At 42.1% G+C, this 20,739-nt stretch overlaps 3 protein-coding genes and 1 pseudogene across 11 annotated transcripts in view; 2 read left to right on the top strand and 2 right to left on the bottom strand.

Annotated features, from left to right (window-relative positions):
• The window catches only part of RAD17 (RAD17 checkpoint clamp loader component), a 45,509-nt gene extending 44,769 nt beyond the window's left edge, over positions 1–740 (bottom strand). For 5 of the 7 annotated variants that reach the window (NM_133338.3, NM_133342.3, XM_047417461.1 and 2 more), the window contains exon 1: positions 100–215. The gene's annotated coding sequence lies outside the window, so the exon portion shown is untranslated. Of the gene's footprint in view, positions 1–99; positions 216–568 lie in introns of those variants that run through there. The other 2 variants (NM_133343.2, XM_017009681.2) reach the window with 1 other exon arrangement.
• Positions 209–5,290, top strand: TAF9 (TATA-box binding protein associated factor 9). Of its 2 annotated transcripts, none has more exons than NM_001015892.2 (3): positions 209–376; positions 3,438–3,530; positions 4,279–5,290. In NM_001015892.2, exon 3 carries the CDS (start codon positions 4,296–4,298, stop codon positions 5,088–5,090), a length of 795 nt encoding a protein of 264 aa, NP_001015892.1. In that variant the 5' UTR covers positions 209–376; positions 3,438–3,530; positions 4,279–4,295; the 3' UTR covers positions 5,091–5,290. The 2 variants fall into 2 exon arrangements, with proteins under 2 accessions (NP_001015892.1, NP_003178.1); NM_003187.5 differs by lacking the exon at positions 209–376 and adding an exon at positions 513–570.
• AK6 (adenylate kinase 6) lies at positions 209–19,049 on the top strand. Of its 2 annotated transcripts, none has more exons than NM_001015891.2 (5): positions 209–376; positions 3,438–3,530; positions 14,080–14,138; positions 14,239–14,384; positions 17,780–19,049. In NM_001015891.2, exons 1-5 carry the CDS (start codon positions 358–360, stop codon positions 17,970–17,972), a joined length of 510 nt encoding a protein of 169 aa, NP_001015891.1. In that variant the 5' UTR covers positions 209–357; the 3' UTR covers positions 17,973–19,049. The 2 variants fall into 2 exon arrangements, with proteins under 2 accessions (NP_001015891.1, NP_057367.1); NM_016283.5 differs by lacking the exon at positions 209–376 and adding an exon at positions 513–570.
• On the bottom strand, positions 19,588–20,097 carry NDUFB9P1 (NADH:ubiquinone oxidoreductase subunit B9 pseudogene 1; annotated as a pseudogene).

The raw sequence follows: 20,739 nt of genomic DNA, 5'->3' as shown, positions 1-20,739 counted from the left end.
GGAGGAGGAGCGACGAGAGCCCAGGAAAGCTTGAAGGCAGAGATAGACTCACGTCTCTAAGACATATACATAATATAGCCGCAACCGCGGCGGCCTTACTTTCCCGGAGCTGCATCCCCTTTTAGGCGAAGAGCGGAGGCGACCAGGGACTACCCTAGGTGAAAGGGCAGCCACCTGGCCCTACCCGGGCTCAACGCCGAGCCTCTCGGAGGTACGGCCTCCCGGGGACCTTCCAGACTGGTCGGCGCAAGCGAAGGGCGGGGACCACCGAAGGAGTGTGTGACTTAGGCATCCAGCGCACTGCCTGACCCGAAGTACCGACCCGAGTTATGCCCACCCTCCAACTTTGCGACGGAAATGTGTCATCGAAAGCCAGGTAACCAGTGGGCCGCGGCTGGGCCGCCGGGGCAGGCTAGGGGCGCCGCGGTGGGCTTCGGGGCCTTTGGGGCCGTGGGCTTTTGCTGCCGCCCGCCCCTTCCGGCTCCTCCCTGTAGAGCAAAGGGCACGTGAGCGAGGCGCCCGAAGCCGTCGCGGCGGGGACCATGTTGCTTCCGAACATCCTGCTCACCGGTCAGGGCGCGCGGCCGGGAGGGACTGGGCTGGGGCAGGCTGGGGGCGCAGAGTGCTCTGGGCATCGGGCGCCCAGGTGGGGGCCCCTCACTGCCCTCTTCAGAGGCCGGCCGAGGGCCACGAGGCGGTTGTCAGCGCCCCGGGAGCCGACCCTCGCGGGCGTTGCGGGAGGCGAGGGAGGGGACGCGGAACGTTAATTCCGTTGGCCTGAGGCTCCGGGGGGGGGCGGGGGGGGGTGGAGAGAGGTCGGCAGATCCAGCTCTCCAGCTTGGCAACCTGCTTAGTCTTTCTGAATCTGGTATTTCGTTTGTAAAATGGGTTGTTGATTCTTTGGCAGGGTTGGCCTTGGGATTTTTAGCGAAATAACGTAAGGCCATATCTGCTTCCCGGTAGAGTCATTAATGGTGGATGCCTCACTCCTTAGGCCTCCGTGGGCCGTATTTTATTTTTTCTTTGCTTCTGATAAACGCCTCAGATTAGATTTCGGTAAACGAGTTCAGATGTTTGTGACGTGACGAAATTGCTGTATGCTTTTGTTGAGTTACATCAAAGGATCCCCCCGCCCCTTAAAAGGAAGGCATATAGAGCATTTCGGGTCGTTTCTCGCGTAGGAGTGGGTCTTTGAAGCCATACTCAGGGTGCATGTTATCAGTGAAGGGAATTAAAATGCTGCATAACGACTTTAACGAATATTTTTGCTAGCCGTTTAGTCCTGAAAGTGTTTATCAAATTGTAGGCCATTCGTGGAAAAATCTAATGCATGTAGATTTTATTGCAAGGTACAGAAAAATTAAGACTCTTTGTGGGAACAGTAAAGTTACATCATTCACCCAAAGGTAAAATTGTTGGCAGCGCACAAGACATGTCTGTTTCTGAGAGGTGCAGATTAACCACCCCACAAATAACGTTTAGAATTTTAGATTCCTTAAGCGGAAGATTTTACATCTTTTTGCATGGATCAAACATAGTGCCCTGGTTATTAAGTCATTGTCAAAACTTTAAAGTGAACATTTTATTGAAAACATGTTGAGTCCAGGGTTCAGACTTGGTGTATTATAGTGGACTTGAGGTGACCGTTATTCTCCTGGGTATGGGAACTGGATTATCCCTGTTATCTTTATGCTTAAGTTTAATTTCAGGGATGTTAAATCTGAATAGCTGAAAATTATGAATTTGATGATCTTGAAATGTAATTTTAATAGGTATCAGAAGGGGAAGGTAAAGAACAATGTATATAGTATTGTCATTTATGTAAAAGGGAATATGTGTTGTATTTATATAACAAAGAGTATGTACATATATGTACATTTACATGCAAACATAAATAGGGTTTCTTTGGGAAAGGAAACTGGTTTACAGTGGTTATCTCTAGGGAAGGGCGCAAGGGGTCAGTAGAGGTAATTTTCAGACTGCTTAATTTTAACATGAACAGTTTTGTTTTTGTTCTTGTTTTTGTTTTTGTTTGAGACAGAGTCTCATTATGTTGGCCAGGCTGGTCTCGAACTCCTGCGCTTAAGCGATCCTCCCGCCTTCTCCTCCCAAATTGCTGGGATTACACGCGCGAGCCACCACACGTGGCCATGAACAGTTTTTAAATCTTTATAAGTTAAAGCAAATAGGCCAGGTGGGTGGCTCATGCCTGTAAATCCCAGCACTTTGGGAGGTGGAGGTGGGGAGATCGCTTGAGCTCAGGAGTTTGAGCTTAGCCTAAGCAACATAGCCAAACCCCGTCTCTACAAAAATTAACCAGGGCATGGTGGTGCATACCTGTGGTCCTAGCTACCGGACAGGCTGAGATGGGAGGATTGCTTGAGCCCAGGAGGTAAAGGCTCTAGTGAGCCAAGTTCCACTGCACTCCAGCCTAGGTAACAAAGAGATATCTTGTCTTTAAAAAAAGAAAAAGGTAAATAAATTATTGTAATTGATTCGAGGTGGCTAATTTTTTTTTTTTTTTTTTTGAGATGGAGTCTCTGTCGCCAGGCTGGAGTGCTGTGGCGCGATCTTGGCTCACTGCATCCTACAACTACCTGGTTCAAGGGATTCTCCTGCCTCAGCCTCCTGAGTAGCTGGGATTACAGGCACGCGCCACCACGCCCGGCTAATTTTTGTATTTTAATAGAGATGTAGTTTCACTATGTTGGCCAGGATTGTCTCAATCTCCTGACCTTGTGATCTGCCCGCCTCGGCCTCCCAAAGTGCGGTGATTACAGGCATGAGCCACTGCGCCCAGCACGAGATGGCTAATTTTATTCTCAGCAGTTCCCCGGTAGCAGCAGGCAGTTTGAATTGGCGTCAGAATCTGCTGAGCCCCACCCCTGGAGAATCAATACACTGGGTAATATTCTGACATTCAGTTAGCTTTGGAAAATTTTTATTAGATCGTAGTACATGCTAATTTACATATGGCCAGGCATGGTGGCTCACGCCTGTAATCCCAGCACTTTAGGAGGCCGAGGCTGGCAGATCACCTGAGGTTAGGAGTTTGAGACCAGCCTGGCCAATATGGTGAAACCCGGTCTCTACTGAAAATACAAAAATTAGCTGGGTATGGTGGTGGGCACCTGTAATTCCAGCTACTGAGGAGACTGAGGCAGGAGAATCGCTTGAACCTGGGAGGTGGAGGTTGCAGTGAGCCAAGATTGTGCCACTGCACTCCAGCCTGGGCGACAAGAGTGAAACTCTGTCTCAAAAAAAAAATTTTACATATGATTGCTAATTAGGAAATTTTTCATTTCAGTCGTCAAGAACTTTTAAGGGCAGAGGCCAGGTGAGACTCTGTCTCAAAAATAAAAGGAAAGGCAGAAGGTGGACCGCAGTGTGATAAGTAGTATTTCACAAACAGTATTTTTCTGTGGCTTGTCTTACAGGTACACCAGGGGTTGGAAAAACCACACTAGGCAAAGAACTTGCGTCAAAATCAGGACTGAAATACATTAATGTGGGTGATTTAGCTCGAGAAGGTAAGGGACACTTTGGTGTTAGATTTGTTTTGTTTTTTTTTTAAGGTCTGGTAAGTGGAGTGTTAGTGCTGGGTATTGTCATAGGGTACAAAAAACAGAGATTGCCATTAAAGAATATATACTCTGTTAGGGAATCCACAGAAATATTAAGTGTCTAATGCTATGTCCTGGTTATTTTGACCATTTTCCCTTCCGCCTTCAAAATGGCTGGCAATTCTTGTGAATAGTTGGGAAGGCTCCTATAAAGAGACTGGATTTCGGATAGGTAGAATGTGAATAAGGAGAATGTTTTTAAGTTGAACAAACAAAGGTTTGGTACTGCTAAACATATATATGAGCACAGTGAGTATATTGGTCTCACTGGAAAGAGACTGTTTTGAGCTCAGGTGTGGGACCTGACTATGCTATGGTATCTTAGATTAGTGTGAGATTTGCATGCAACTGCATATATTCTAAGATGATCATTGTTTTTATTTATTTTACCCTGTTTTCCCCTAATCTTTCATCGCTCCCTTATTTGTGTCTTCATCTTTTTATAGTCGACAATGATTTGTACATGGTAGGAACTCAATAAATTAAAGCGACCTTAAGTTGCCTCATTAAAATTAAGAAAACATATGGTTTAAATTTTAAAAATTTTTTTACAGTTTAACATAGATTTAAAATTTTTTTAAGTTCCTGACAGTTGCTACTAAAGTAACTATTTCAGATTGATCTAATGTACATATTTTTTTCAAATGATCTAAAGTCTGATCATCGGATATCATGGAGTCTGGCAAGACGGCTTCTCCCAAGAGCATGCCGAAAGATGCACAGATGATGGCACAAATCCTGAAGGATATGGGGATTACAGAATATGAGCCAAGAGTTATAAATCAGATGTTGGAGTTTGCCTTCCGATATGTGACCACAATTCTAGATGATGCAAAAATTTATTCAAGCCATGCTAAGAAAGCTACTGTTGATGCAGATGATGTGCGATTGGCAATCCAGTGCCGCGCTGATCAGTCTTTTACCTCTCCTCCCCCAAGAGATTTTTTATTAGATATTGCAAGGCAAAGAAATCAAACCCCTTTGCCATTGATCAAGCCATATTCAGGTCCTAGGTTGCCACCTGATAGATACTGCTTAACAGCTCCAAACTATAGGCTGAAATCTTTACAGAAAAAGGCATCAACTTCTGCGGGAAGAATAACAGTCCCGCGGTTAAGTGTTGGTTCAGTTACTAGCAGACCAAGTACTCCCACACTAGGCACACCAACCCCACAGACCATGTCTGTTTCAACTAAAGTAGGGACTCCCATGTCCCTCACAGGTCAAAGGTTTACAGTACAGATGCCTACTTCTCAGTCTCCAGCTGTAAAAGCTTCAATTCCTGCAACCTCAGCAGTTCAGAATGTTCTGATTAATCCATCATTAATCGGGTCCAAAAACATTCTTATTACCACTAATATGATGTCATCACAAAATACTGCCAATGAATCATCAAATGCATTGAAAAGAAAACGTGAAGATGATGATGATGACGATGATGATGATGATGACTATGATAATCTGTAATCTAGCCTTGCTGAATGTAACATGTATACTTGGTCTTGAATTCATTGTACTGATATTAAACATGCATGCTGGATGTTTTCAAGTTGTGTTTTAGAAAACTAATAATAATGAGTAAACACAGTTACCATACTTTTCAATTGAAATGAAGGTTTTTCATCAGCCTTAAAAGTGTAAGAAAAATAAAGTTGTCATTCATTCGATTGTTGGTGCTTTGGCAGTTATGTTTTTAAAAGCAATTTTCTCCTTGTTGTCACCAAGAGGAGTAACAGTTGGCAGTTGCAGCAATTTGCAGTACTGCAGTCTATTTTTGACCACTAGAGTGTCACCTTAAACGTCTTCAGATACATAGATCATAGTATGATCTCTGGTGTGTACGTCACTCTTGTGATCTGTTCTCTCAGATTGCTGAAGTATAACCATGACTCCCCTTTGGAGAGACCAGTTGGTCAGGATTTTTATTCATAGTGAATTCTTAACCTGCTTTGATTATCTTCCTCAATTGCCCAACTTCCTAGGTCCCATTTTTCTGTCCTTTTGGTTATATTAAGGACCCTTAGTGTCTCCCAGTATGTCTCCACTTTTTAAAAAAAAATTTATAAGTGTCTCTTTTTGCAGGTTAATTTTGAGCATCTTTGTTTTTCATATTCCTGATACTATAAGCCAGTATCATGTTCATTTTTGATCCAGGGCTGATAATTAGGTTATAGTGTTTATATATATATATATTTTTTTTAATTTAAAATATTTTTTTGTCCAAAAGAACGTCAATTTATCAAGGTTATAGTTTCTAAAACCTAGATTTTTATTTGCTATCATACAACTACTCATTTTCCATTTCATTTTATTTTATTTCCTGAGACAGAATTTCATTTTGTTGCCCAGGCTGCAGTGCAGTGGCACAATCTCAGCTCACTGCAACCTCTATGTCCCAGGTTCCAGCTATCTTTGCACCTCAGCCTCCCAAGTAGCTGGAATTACAGGTGTGCACCACCACACCTGGCTAATTTTTATATTTTTAGTAGAGATGGGCTTTTGCCATGTTGTCCAGGCTGGTCTTGAACTCCTGGCCTCAAGTGATCTGCCCACCTCGGCCTCCCAGAGTGCTGGGATTACAGGTGTGAGCTACCTCACCTGGCCTTTCCTTTTTTTTTTTTCTTTTGAGACGGAGTCTCCCTCTGTCGCCCAGACTGGAGTGCAGTGGTGTAATCTCGGCTCACTGCAAGCTCTGCCTCCCAGGTTCACGCCATTGTCCTGCCTCAGCCTCCCAAGTAGCTGGGACTACAGGCACCTGCCACCACGCCCAGCTAATTTTCTGTATTTTTAGTAGAGACGGGGTTTCACCGTGTTAACCAGGTTGGTCTCGATCTCCTGACCTCGTGATCCACCCACCTTGGCCTCCCTGAGTGCTGGGATTACAGGCGTGGGCCACCGCGCCCAGCCCGGCCTTTCTGTTTTATATCTATATGAAATGTGGTTTTGTTCCTCACTGTTGAACACCACCATTTTTGACAAGTGATTTCTGAGTCACATAATAGTCAATTTCATTCATGCATTCCAATGTTACTTTCACTCAATTTAACATTTCTAAACTAATTAGAGCATTAATAGCATTGAGAGCAATGGTGACACCAGACCAAGGACAATCCAGTATAAGGCACTTGTCTTCCTCTTCTTTGGGTCCTCTCCTACCAGTACTTAAACCATTTCATTTGGTTGAGACAGAGTCTTGCTCTGTTGCCCAGGCTGGAGTGTGGTGGCCTGATCATAGCTCATTGCATCCTTGAACTCCTGGGCTAAAGTGATCATCCTGCCTCAGCCTCCCTTGTAGCTGGGACTACAGGCACACACCATCCTGCCGGGCTAACTTAAAATTATTTTTGCAGAGACAGGGTCTGGCTTTGTTCCCCAGGCTGGTTTACTCCTGGGCTCAAATGATCCTTCTGCCTTAGCCTCCCAAAGTGCTGGGATTGCAGACGAGAGCCACTGTACCTCAAGTACTCAACACCATTTTAGTCAGTTGTGTATAGTCCCACCCATCCTCTTTGTTATTAGTGAGATTATTTCATGAAATGGGATCTAAGTCTTAAAGGAAAAGTATTTTTTCCCCCTCCTGTAATGCCAGATAAAAGATTTCTGGTCTGACTTGACATGGAGTTTGATGGAGGTACTTTGTGGGGTTTTTTTGTTTGTTTGTTTGAGACAGGGTCTTGCTCTGTGGCCCAGGCTGGAGTGCAGTGGCACAGTTTCCCCTCACTGCAACCCCAGCCTCCCGGGCTCAAGTGATCTCCTGCTTCAACCTCCCCAGTAGCTGGGACTACAGACACAAGGCCTCACTGTGTTGCCCAGGGTGGTCTCCAATTCCCCAGGCTCAAGTGATCCTCCCACCTTGACCTCTCAAAAGTGCTGGGATTACCGGTGTTAGCCATTGTGCCCAGCCTGATGAGGTACTTTGTAAGGTTTGACATACCAGATTTTTTAACCCAGATCCTGTTTGAATATATCTGGAAATATTCTGGGGCAACTAACCTCATTTTTATTTCAAGTGGGGATATATTTTTAAGGGAAACCAGGCAATCATCTATAATGAAGTGATTCTCAACTAGGTGATTTTTGCCCTTTGGGGGTATAGCAATGTGTGAAGACATTTTGGGTTGTCACATGGAGGGGGAGGTGATGGCCAGGGATTCTACTAAAGATCCTGTAGTTCACAGGACAGTCCCCTGTCTCCCTTAGTAACAATTACCAGACTCAAAATGTCATTAGTAATAAGGTTGAGAAATCTTGCTGTAAAGAAATAAGGCTTATTCCGATGCTCACTAAAGTCGGAAAAAAAGAAAGCTTTTAAGAAAACCCTATTTTAAACTTATTTCTAAAAGTTTAGTATCATCCTGGTGATCATGTGGAATTGCAGTAGTAGTTGAGAGAGGTCATCTTCACTCCCAAAACCAAGGCAAAAAAAAAAAAAAAAAAAAAGGGAATCAAGTTTAAGAAAACTGGCCGGGGGTGGTGGCTCATGCCTGTAAATTCCAGCACTTTGGCCCAGCATGGTGGCTCATGCCTGTAATCCTAGCACTTTTGGGAGGCCGAGGCGGGTGGATCACCTAAGGTCAGGAGTTCAAGACCAGCCTGTCCAACATGGTGAAACCCCATCTCTACTAAAAATACAAAAAAGTAGCCAGGTATGGTGGTGGGCCCCAGTAATCCCAGCTACTCGGGAGGCTGAGACAGGAGAATCACTTGAACCCGTTAGGCGGAGGCTGCGGTGACCCGAGATCACACCACTGCACTCCAGCCTGGGCAAGACAGAGCAAGACTCAGTCTCAAAAAAAAAAAAAAATCAGTCCGGCGTTGCTGAGGGTGCCTGTAATCCCAGCTACTCAGGAGGCTGAGGCAGGAGAATCACTTGAACCTGGGAGGTGGAGGTTGCAGTGAACCGAGATCATGCCACTGTACTCCAGTCTGGGTGACAGAGAGAGATTCCGTCTCAAAAAAAAAAGAAAACTATTAAAGAGTCTTACTGTGGGCCGGGCGCGGTGGCTCACGCCTGTAATCCCAGCACTGTGGGGAGCCGAGGTGGGCAGATCACGAGGTCAGGAGATTGAGACCATCCTGGCTAACACGGTGAAACCCCGTCTCTACTAAAAATACAAAAAATTAGCCGGGCGTGGTGGCAGATGCCTGTGGTCCCAGCTACTTGGGAGGCAGAGCTTGCAGCGAGCCAAGATCGCGCCACTGCACTCTAGCCTGGGCGACAGAGTGAGACTCCATCTCAAAAAAAAAGAGTCTTACTGTGGTATGACTGTAAGAGTGCTTCTCTTATTGCTATTCTTCCAGTCTCAAGACTCCTCCTCACTTGATACCCTTTCCTATATACAATCATTTTTATACTCTTACTAGCATCCTTAATTTTCCTGGCAGCAGTTTTTCGGTCTTCGGCCTCTGTTCCTAACTGCAGAATACCCATAGGTCTAGACGAAGTAATATATTGACATTGGATCCATTTCCAGTAGAAATTGTAAAGCATAGCTTGGCTTGAACACTTAGAATCTTGATATATCTCTAACCTAGGGGTTGGCAAGCTACTGTTGTTTTTGTATGACTTCTGAGCTAAAGACTAGCTTGCAAAGCGTAAGGTATTACCTGGCCCTTTACAGAAAGAAAAAATGCTGATCCCTGTTCTATCCTTTTCTGAATCCCATTTTTCTCTCCCCTTATCAACTCCCACTGGAAGCCTTGGAAACTAACTCCTCTATTGACCTCTCTGACACTGCTCTCTCCCTATCTTTGCCTCTGGTCTTTCCCCTTCCACCTGTTTCCCCCATGATTTCATTGCAGCCATATTGTAATTCTGCCCCTCCCACTAGTAATCTCACTCATTCAGGACTATTCACTCCCTTGTGCTGATGACTTAAATTTATAATTAAAACAACCCAATTTCTAGACACCTATTAGACAACCATCTGGATAGTTCCCAGATGTTTACAGCTCTAAATTAGTATGTTTAAAGCACGTGCTCTGAAAGCATCCTTGACTATACTTGCCCACTCCTCTGATTTCTACCTCCCAAGCATATAAATACACATTCACTCTCTCCACACAGATCCACTTGGCCTTTAAATCTTGACGGTTTCTCCTACACATCCCTACAGTACCCCTATTTCATCAAGACCCCTGGTGCTGTGCCTAGAATCCTACCTAGAATCTCCTGTTTGACTTCTTCAGTATCTCTTTCTTCCCTCTTCTACACTATCATTTTCTTAAAAGTGGGGAAGGAGAATGACATGATTTGAACTTTTTACTCACATAGTCCATTCTCCTTCAGGAAATATAGGAGATTCTTTATAAAATGGCCACAGTTTACCTGCAGCCGTTCTCTCCCCTATGTCCCCTTCAGTGCAGCCATCATACCCTGTTCTCACTAGGAATTTTCCACCTCGAGTATTTATGCATGCTGTTCTCTTTATAGGTTTCCTTATCTTCCTTACAACTCCTTGGAGGCCCAACTCCAATGTCATATCTTTGGCTGTCTAACTTCACTATGCAGAATTAATTGCCCTTTTCTTTTCGCATAAAAAGCCAGGTATTTTAAAGGCACCCAATCACTCTAAACCAGTTAATTTCTTGTTCTAATTGCTTTAGAGTTATCAGCTTCTTGTTGAGTTGAGGTAAATGTGGTGAATATGTTTTCAAAAGAAGAAATATGAAAATAAAAATTTTAAGTATTGGCAGCAGTGTCAAAACAACCAGCATCCCAATATGATTAAAGAACAGCTTTCACTTGAGTGTATATAAGTTCTAGGATGGCAGTTAAACATAATGTCATGATTTTACAGTTTGACAAACAGCAGCAGCTGGGAAGGTTTTTTAAGGTAAGAATGAGCTTTAAAAAATTTTGTGGGGCCTGGCGCAGTGGCTCACACCTGTAAACCCAGCACTTTGGGAGGCCAGGGCGGGTGGATCACCTGAGGTCAAAAGTTCAAGACCAGCCTGGCCAACATGGTGAAACCCCATCTCTACTAAAAATACAAAAATTAGCCAGGCATGGTGGCGGGCACCCGTAATCCCAGCTACTTGGGAGGCTGAGGCGGGAGAATTGCTTGAACCCAGGAGACGGAGGTTGCAGTGAGCCAGGATCATGCCATTGCACTCCAGCGTGGGTGACGAGAGTGAAACTCTGTCTCAAAATTTAAAAAAAAAAAATTTTTTTTTTTTTGAGACAAGGTATCACTGTCACCCTAACTGGAATACAGTGGTGCAATCCTGGCTCACTCCAGCCTCAAGCAGTCCTCCCACCTCAACCTCCAGAGTAGCTGGGACTATAGGCTGGCACCGCCATGCTGGGCTAATTTTTTTTTTTTTCTTTTGGTAGTGGTGGGGTGTTGCTATGTTATCCAGGGTGATCCCGAACTCCCAGGCTCAAGAGATCCTCCCACCTCGGCCTCTGAAAGTGCTAGGATTATAAGCGCGAACCACCATGCTCACCCTTTTAACTCTGGCCCCACAATTGATTTTTTTTCTGCAAGCAATATATCTGTACCTGGAATTTAAAAAAATAAACTGCAAAACTTTGTTTAGAAAGTTGATTTAATTTTCTAATCTCTCAGTCCTTAAACAAATCAACCTTTTTGATCTTTGCTTAAGATCCTATGTATAGGCAAGTATAAATTTGGCTTCCAATTGAAACTTTCTAAAGTAGCATAAAATTTATTCTTTTTTTGAAATTTGAAATGAAGTTTAGGATCCGTTCATTTCTCTGGTACAGGCTACAATCATCACTTACCTAAAAATCTGCAGTAGACTTGATAGCCTCTGGGACTCCGTCTCAAAAAAAATAAAGACTTCAATCCTAAAAGTTAACACATCTATTTTAGACAGCATATATTGGTTCAAGTCATCTTTCTTTTTTTTTTTTTTTTTTTTTTTTTGAGACAGAGTCTTGCTCTGTCACCCAGGCTGGAGTGCAGTGGCGCGATCTCAGCTCACTGCAGCCTCCTCCCGGGTTCAAGCGATTCTCCTGCCTCAACCTCCCAAGCAGCTGGGATTACAGGCACCCGCCACCACGCCTGGCTAACTTTTGTATTTTTGGTAGAGATGGGGTTTCACCATGTTGGCCAGGCTGGTCTCAACTCCTGACCACAGGTGATCAACCACCTCGGCCTTCCAGTGTGCTGGAATTACAGGCATGAGCCACCGCACCGGCCAGAGTCATCTTTTAAAAGTCAAAGATTTAAAGTATGAAGGAACCTCCGTGTTTATCTATTCAAGATTACCACATAGTACAGAATCAGCTATAGGTATTCTTAGATTTTGTGGTACTGTTAAAAAAATATGCAATACTGTAAAAATAGTATATGGAAAAATACTCCAAAGCTTTTGTTTTTCTTCTAATCTTTGTCCCTAGTAAGGACAACTTTGAATTCTGCTTTTTGTGTTTTACACTTGTATATGTGAGCATTTATCATGTTGCTGCCTAGTCTATACTACATAGTATTTTTAAACTATGTTAACTATAATACTATAACTCTAATACTTATTAATTTTAATTACATAATTTTTACAAAATTAATTACATAATATTTTATAAAGTTATAAAGTTGGTAAATCAAGATTTAACTTTTCTTATTGTTCAACATTTTTTATTATTTTCTAATTTTGTCCAATTAGAAATTAAATGGTAGTGTAAATATCTAAATGGATTGAACATATAACAGGCATAAATATAGACTCATTTTAATTTGCATCTCTTTAATAGCTAGGAAAATTCAGTATTTTTTCATGTGTGTTTACTGATTTTTTCCACTCTTCCATCTTGTGTGAATTCTTTTCTTGTTTATTGAGCAATTGTTATTTTGGTTTTAAGGTCTTTATATTATCTACATTTCAGTCCTTTGTTATTTCTCCCATTCTGTTACTTTTCTTAGAATTTGATTATTTCTCAAGGAACAGAGAGTCAACATTTTAAATAACTGGATCAGTCTTTTTATTTCTTCTGCTACTCAACAAACTCAAATGAATCATTCCTTTATAGCTCCATCTGGGGTTTGTGGTATAAAGTAAGGATTTAGATTGTTTTCTAAATTGTTAACCAGTTTTCTTCATACCAAGACAGTTTAATTTTTTAGGTTGGTAGAGTTCCTGGTAGGTGAGCAATAGCCCAAGGAGGCAGAGGCCACACTAGAGTGCTAGAAAGGTGGTTTATGTGCCTAGAATCAGTCCACAGACCCTCCAGGCAAGACAAGGAGTTACAACTGCTTTTGTGCCCTCCAGTGTCCATCAGACTGCCCCCGCAGTGACCATCAGACTACTCCTGTGTCCCTTCAGAATTTATGTTCATTTTAACCTCATTTCAACCCGTACCAAAATATTAAGGGGAAAGAGGTGGGAAGACTGCTATATAACATGCTCTCAGAGATGGTTAATGGATGATCTGAGCTTGCCTTAGATTAATACCTCCTAAGGGCTGGGGCTAAGGGTAAGATGGTATGTCTTACCTCCTGAAAGAATACTTCTTTTGAAAACCAGCTGTGATTTGTTGGAAAGTTCTTATGTTAAATTTAAATTTGCCTCCTTTGTAACTTTGAACGTTATTTTTGTTTTGCCTTCTGAAATGAGACTATTTAACTCTTATGAGGAACGGCAGTTTGGAATACTGGAAATCTAGAAGTAAAGATACTGTTCAGGAGCATTTGGATCCTGACCCTTCTCTATTCCCATGAGGATGTGAGCTCAGTGACAGAGGGTTCATTTCTGGAATAAAGAATCTGTTATTGCTTTTTTCTTTCTTTCTTTTTGGAGACAGGGTCCTGCTCTGTCGCCCAGCCTGGAGTACGGTGGTGTGATCTCACCTTATTGTAACCTCCACCTCCCAGGCTCAAGCAATCCTTCTGCCTCAGCCTCCCAAGTAACTGGGACTACAGGTGTGCACCACCATGCCTGCCTAATTTTTTTTTTTTTTTCTGTAGAAACAGGTTCTCAACATATTGCCCAGGCTGTCTTGAACTCCTGGGCTCAAGAGATCCTCCTACCTCGTATGGGCTGGGATTACAAGCGCAAAGCCACCATGCCTGGCCTGTTACTGCTTTTGATAAATTAATCTGCTTTTAAATGTATGTGAGTGTGTTTGTATCTGTTCAGGTGTTTCCTCTTCCCGCCAATCTGTAGTTCAACAAAAATAGTGTAGTCCTCTTCTAGTAGCCCCACAAATTCTGAAGTTGGTTATTCACTCTTTTTAGTTGGTTTCAGTTTTGATATTTAAAGCAGTTTCAGATATATTGCAATCCAAGTTTCCCTCTAAACAAAATTCCAATTTATCAGTTAGTATGGCTCCTTTATATTTGGTGTTTATGTAACATTTATTTTGTTAGTATCCACCCTTGTATCTAAAAGAATAATTGATGATACATTTCCTTTCCTGAAGTCTAGAATTAATTGAAAATTACTTAAAGTTACTTAGAAAATATTTCAACAAGCAATTCTAAATCTCTTTTAGAGCAATTGTATGATGGCTATGATGAAGAGTATGACTGTCCCATTTTAGATGAAGACAGAGTAAGTATGACTTTTTCATAAAGTATGCATTTGTTGAATTTCATAGGAAAGTTGACTTCAGTTTTCTTAAGAAGCATTTTTTTTTAAACTTTTCTTACAGGTAGTTGATGAGTTAGATAACCAAATGAGAGAAGGTGGAGTTATTGTTGATTACCATGGTTGTGATTTCTTCCCTGAACGCTGGTTTCATATAGTTTTTGTGCTGAGAACAGATACCAATGTATTGTACGAAAGACTTGAAACAAGGTAAGAAAGGAAAAACATTAGATTCTTAAAGCATAATGTTAACTTTTATTCAGATTTCTGAAATTGGCCATGATAAAAGATTGTTGTTGTTTGTTTTGTTTTGTTTTGTTTTGTTTTTTTGAGATAGAGTCTCGCTGTCACCCAGGCTGGAGGGCAGTGGTGTGATCTCGGTCCACTGCAACCTCCACCTCCCTGGTTCAAGCAATTCTTGTGCCTCAGCCTCCTGACTAACAGACCACGGGCACATGCCACCTTGCCTGGCTAATTTTTTTATTTTTTGTAGAGATGGGGTCTCCCATGTTGCCCAGACTGGTCTCGAACTCTTGGGCTCCAGCAATCTGCCCACCTCAGCCTCCCAAAGTGCTGAGGCTACAGGTGTGAGTCATAGCACCCAGCTAATAAAGGGTTTTATTTGAAAATATGACTACTTTAAAATATGGGCAGTACTTTTTGAGTAAATTAATATCTCAACTGACAATCTGATTGAGTAAAATGTACTGTGTAGAAACCCAATTTAGTCGGCCGGGCACAGTGGCTCACGCTTGTAATCCCAGCACTTTGGGAGACCAAGGTGGGAGGATCACAAGGTCAGGACATCGAGACCATGCTGGCTAACATGGTGAAATCCTGTCACTACTAAAAATGCAAAAAAAATTAGCCGGGCATGGTGGCAGGCACCTGTACAGTCCCAGCTACTCTGGAGGCTGAGGCAGGAGAACGACGTGAACCTGGGAGGTGGAGCTTGCAGTGAGCTGAGATCACACCACTGCACTCCAGCCTGGGCAACAGAGTGAGACTCCGTCTCAAACAAAAAAAAGAAACCCTATTTAGCCATGCTTTTTCTTTGATGTAAACCCTTGCTAGGAAAACAGCCAAGCCCCTAACATATTCTTTGCTTATTGACTGAACACTACTCACTCAAATTATCCCTGCATCAGGAGTGGGAAAGCTTATGAAAAACTAACAAAATAAACCAGCATTTCACAGTCTTTAATAGATACCGAGTTAAACCCACAAATAGAGCATCAGATTTAATGCGGAAGAACCAGTAAAGAGAAACTTTTAGGGAAGTCTTTTATCCCCACTGTCTTTTGATCAAAGCTGTGGGAATATGGGGATTCTAGAGAAATTAGAGAGCAATCTCAGAAAGGAAAGCTCCAGAATTTTGCTTAAGGTCGGGGTCAGAATGTGTGGTTTTCACTGATTATAGTCAACTCTGACTAACCACTATTATTTGCAATACTTGTAAATCCTTGCACAGAATAGTATGGCAGCAAATATACATATAGAAAAAGTTAAATTGGGGCTAAACCTAAAACTTTTATCTTTTTTAGGCAGTGAAAAGCCATTAAAAGTTTTGGGGCAGAGAAGTAATAGAGACTATATGGTACATATGCTTTTTTTCAATCAAGACAATTTAAAATTTTGATTAAAAAATTACTGTTTTACATATATAGCCAAGGGTAAGACTAAGGTATGAAAAAACTATGAGAGAGCTAGTTAGTATTTTTAACTATCGAAAAGGTTGTAAAAAAGTAACAGCTTTAGGCTGGGCATGGTTGGGTGGTGAGGGGGAGGCAGGACGGCTCACACCTCACACCTGTAATCCCAGCAATTTGGGAGGCTGAGGCAAGGTGATTGCTTGAGCCTAGGAGTTTGAGACCAGCCTGGGCAACATAGCAAGACCTTGGTCTCTACAAAAAATAAAAAATTTAGCCAAGTGTGGTGGCATGCACCTGTGGTCCCAGCTACTTTGGAGGCTGAGGTGGGAGGAATGCTTGAGCCTGGGAGGTTGAGGCTGCAGTGAGCTGTGATTGCACCACTGCACTCCAGCCTGGTTGACAAAGCAAGACCCTGTCTCAAAAGCAACCAAAAAACAAAAATATCCACTTTATTGAGATTTAGTTTACATTCACCCACTTAAAGTACATAATTCAGGTTTTTTTCTAGTTTTATGGGTACATAGTAGGTGTATATATCAGTTGCTCATTTGTTTTTTTGTATATCAAAAAGTTGTACAATCATTACCACAAACAATTTTAGAAAATTTTGGGGGTGGGCGCGGTGGCTCACGCCTGTAATTCCAGCACTTTGGGAGGCCAAGGTGGCTGAATCATGAGGTCAGGAGTTCGAGACCAGCCTGACCAACATGGTGAAACCCCGTCTCTACTAGGAATACAAAGATTAGCTGGGCGTGGTGGCTTGCACCTGTAATCCCAGCTACTCAGGAGGCTGAGGCAGGAGAATTGCTTGAACCCGGAAGGTGGAGGTTGCAGTGAGCCGAGATCACACCACTGCACTCCAGCCTGGGTGACAGAGCAAGACTCCGTCTCAAAAAAAGAAAATTTTTGTCACCCCAGAAAGGAACCCCATACCCAGTAGTAGTCACTCCCCATTTACCCTCAGTTCCCCAGCCCTAGGCAACCAATAATCTACTCTCTGTCTTTATGGATTTGTCTATACTAGATATTTCATATGAATGAAATCATACAGGATGTGGACTTTTATGCCTGTCTCCTGTCAAATTAGTTTGTTTTCAAGGTTCATTCATATTGTATCATAGACCAGTACTTCATTTCTTTTTATTGCCAAATAATATTCCATTGTATGGATGTATCATTTTTAAAATACATTTATCAGGTTGTGGACATTTGGGTTGTTTCACTTTTTGGCTGTTATGAATATTGTATCCATAAACATTCTTGCACATGTTTTTGTGTGGACATCATGTGTTTATTTCTCTTGTTTATATATCTAGGAATTGAATTGCTGGGTAATATGGAAACTTTGTATTTGACCCTTCCAATAACTGCCAGATTGTTTTCCATAGTGGCTGCATCATCTCATATTCACACTGTGTATGAGGGTTCTAATTTGTCCACATCCTCACCAACAGCTGTTATTGTTCATATTTTGGTTGTAGTCATCCTGCTGGATGTGAAGTAATATCTCATTGTAATTTTGATTTGCATTTCCTATACAGCTAGAGATGCTGAACATCTTTTCATGTCCTTATTAGACAGTTGTGTATCTTCCTTGGAGAAATATTTACTCAGATTCTTTGCTTAAGTTTTAATTGGGTTACAAATCTTTTTATTACTAAGTTATGAGATTTTGCTAATTTACTAATTCATTGGGAATTTATTGAGTAGCTGACAAATTGTGGGGGGGGGAAATTCAAACAAACCTAGATGCTGGTTTGGTGATCTTTAGTTTCACCCTAGTGTCAAGAAACTGTGTCATATAAACAGGTACCAGTCACTCCTCTCTAGGTGAAGAGACCATTTCTGTAATTTTTCACGTATTGAAAAGTGTCCAGTTTCTGGTATGTTTCTGAAACTCCAGTTAATGCCATTTATTTTGCTTCTTGTTTGCTTAACCTCCCTGCCTTCTAGGGGTTATAATGAGAAGAAACTAACAGACAATATTCAGTGTGAGATTTTTCAAGTTCTTTATGAAGAAGCCACAGCATCCTACAAGGAAGAAATCGTGCATCAGCTGCCCAGTAATAAACCAGAAGAGCTAGAAAATAATGTAGATCAGATCTTGAAATGGATTGAGCAGTGGATCAAAGATCATAACTCTTGACTTATAAGGCTAGCTACTTAATAATCACTCTTGTTGATATCTCTGCCGACATCATAGAAATTGTTCAAGTGTCAGTAACACTTTATTAAAATCATGTTGCAGAACCAGCAGGTGGATAGTATATAGGTTTATGCCTGTGTTTCTTTTTCTCCATGAGAAAGCTAAACATGAAATATAATGAATATAGTATTATTAAGGATTGAGACAAAAACTGTGATTTTAATACTTAAATTGCTAAAGAATAAATAAATCTGACAAAATGGGTGGATATCTTTTAAGTTTATTACAGAAAAAAATGCAGATGATCTCTTAAAATAAAACTAAAGATAAAGCAACAGAGTATTCCTTTTTTCTTTCTTTAAATTAGAAAAAAAGTTAAGTGTTGTACTCGATACAAAGTTCAAAAGGTACAAAAGAGCATGTTGAAAAGTTAGGTCTCCCTTCCAGACCACCCTATCCCCAGGCACCCCAGGTTCCTTCCCTTTAGGAAATAATGTTACTGGTTTCCTATATGTCTTTTTAGAGGTTTTATGCCTGCACAGTGTATATGTACATGTGTACATTTTTTAAAGAATATAACAGTATATTATGCACACTATTCTGTACCTTTCTTTTTTCACTTACTATATTTGAAGATTATATCATCTCAGTACAGACCTCCCTGTTCTTTTTTTTAGTTGAGATAGATATACATATCATACAATAAAATTTACCATTTTGAAGTGTATAATCAGAACCGGGTATGGTGGCTTATGCCTGTAATCCCAGCAAATGGGGAGGCTGAGGTGGAGAATCGCTTGAGGCAGGAGTTCAAGACCAGCCTGGGCAACATAGTGAGACCTTAGACTCTAAAAATAAACATAAATAAAATTTATAATCCGTTGGTTTTTAGCTTATTAACAAGGTTATGTAACTGTCACCACTGTGGAGGAAGCAGTGATGATAAAGGGAACTCCTATACCCTTTAGCAGTCACTCTCTATTCTTTCCTCCTCATCCCCTTGCAGTCACTAGTCTACTTTCTGTCTCTATGGATTTGCATATTCTGGATATTTCATATAAATGGGATTATACAGTATGTGGCCTTTTGTGTCCAGTTTCTTTCACTTAGCATAATGTTTTCAAGGTTCATCTAAGTTATAGCATGTACCAATATCTCATTCCTTTTTATGGTTGAATAATATTCCATTATATGGATTTACCACATTTTGCTTATGTTTCCATCACTTGCACAATTGGGTTGTATCCACTTTGGGTATTGTGAAGTTGAATACATAATAGTAGCATACTATGAGCATTCATGTACAAGATTCCATGTGGATGTATGTTTTCAGTTTTCTTAGGCATATACCTGGGAGGGGAATTGCTGGGTCATAGGGCAACCATGTTTAACTTTTTGAGGAAATGCCAAACTGGTTTCCAAAGTGGTTGCAGCATTTTATGTTCCCACCATCAATGTATTAGGGACTCAGTTTCTTCACATTCTTGCTAACACTTGTTACGGTCTATATTTGTTGATTTTTACCATTTCAGCGATTTTTATTAGGCTAAGTGTGTGTGTATGTTCTGTAACTTACTTCACTTGCAGGCATGACAGGGTGAGGTCTGTCTCTCTACATGGGCCACTCCCGGGGTCTGGTCACAATATACCACCACAGGGGGCAAAGCTTCAGTCCTAGACCACCAGTTGGGATTTCCTCCTGCAGCTGCTTAACCTCTCACTCCTGGCTTTGCCTCAGCAGTTTCTTCCACTGCTCTCTCTTGGCTAAGTAATCAGGGTACATTGCCTTCTCAGAAGGATTCCAGTCATCTAAGCACCACTCCAGAGACTTGTAGCATATCACTCGTATCTCTCATAGGAAGTACCCCCAGAGAGTCAGGGAAGAGAATGGCTGTGAATGCTGACGATACCAGAATTCCTCTGCCTCCCTCAGCAGTGGGGTAGCCTCCATCATACCCTTTTTTTTTTTCCTATGCTCTTCAAACCAGGCTCTCATCAAACAGGCAAAATATACCATTATTTATCTCTGGATGCACCATGGCTTGAGGTGGTACAGCGCCTGGTTACAAAGCAGCAACACCTTCTGGTGATAGGTCAAGTAGGCCCTCCAGCATCGAGAACACCATGACTGCTTGATCCCATCTTTTTTTTTTTTTGAGACGGAGTCTTGCTCTGTCGCCCAGGCTGGAGTGCAGTGGTGCAATCTCGGCTCACTGCAAGCTCCACCTCCCGAGTTCACGCCATTCTCCTGTCTCAGTCTCCCAAGTAGCTGGGACTACAGGCGCCTGCCACCACGCCCGGCTAATTTTTGTATTTTTAGTAGAGACGGGGTTTCACCATGTCAGGCAGGATGGTCTCGATCTCCTGACCTCGTGATCTGCCCACCTTGGCCTCCCAGAGTGCTGGGATTAGAGGCGTGAGCCACCGCGCCTGGCCTTTTTTTTTTTTTTTTTTTTTTTTTTTTTGAGGCAGTCTCACTCTTGTTGCCCAGGCTGGAGTGCAATGGCGTGATCTCAGCTCACTGCAGGTTCAAGGGTTCAACCTCCACCTCCCAGGTTCAAGCGATTCTCTTGCCTCAATCTCCCAAGTAGCTGGGATTACAGGCATGCACCACCATACCCGGCTGATTTTGTATTTTTAGTAAAGACAGAGTTTCTCCCTCGAACTCCCAACCTCAGGTAATCTGCCCGCCTCAGCCTCCCAAAGTGCTGGGATTGCAGGCGTGAGCCACCTTGCCTGGCAACTCCCATCTTTTTTATTATAACTA

Source organism: Homo sapiens, chromosome 5, assembly GCF_000001405.40.
Source record: "Homo sapiens chromosome 5, GRCh38.p14 Primary Assembly".
Lineage (NCBI taxonomy): Eukaryota > Metazoa > Chordata > Mammalia > Primates > Hominidae > Homo > Homo sapiens.
The sequence above is the reverse complement of the archived record's forward strand: the minus strand, read 5'-3'. Positions and strand labels throughout refer to the sequence as shown.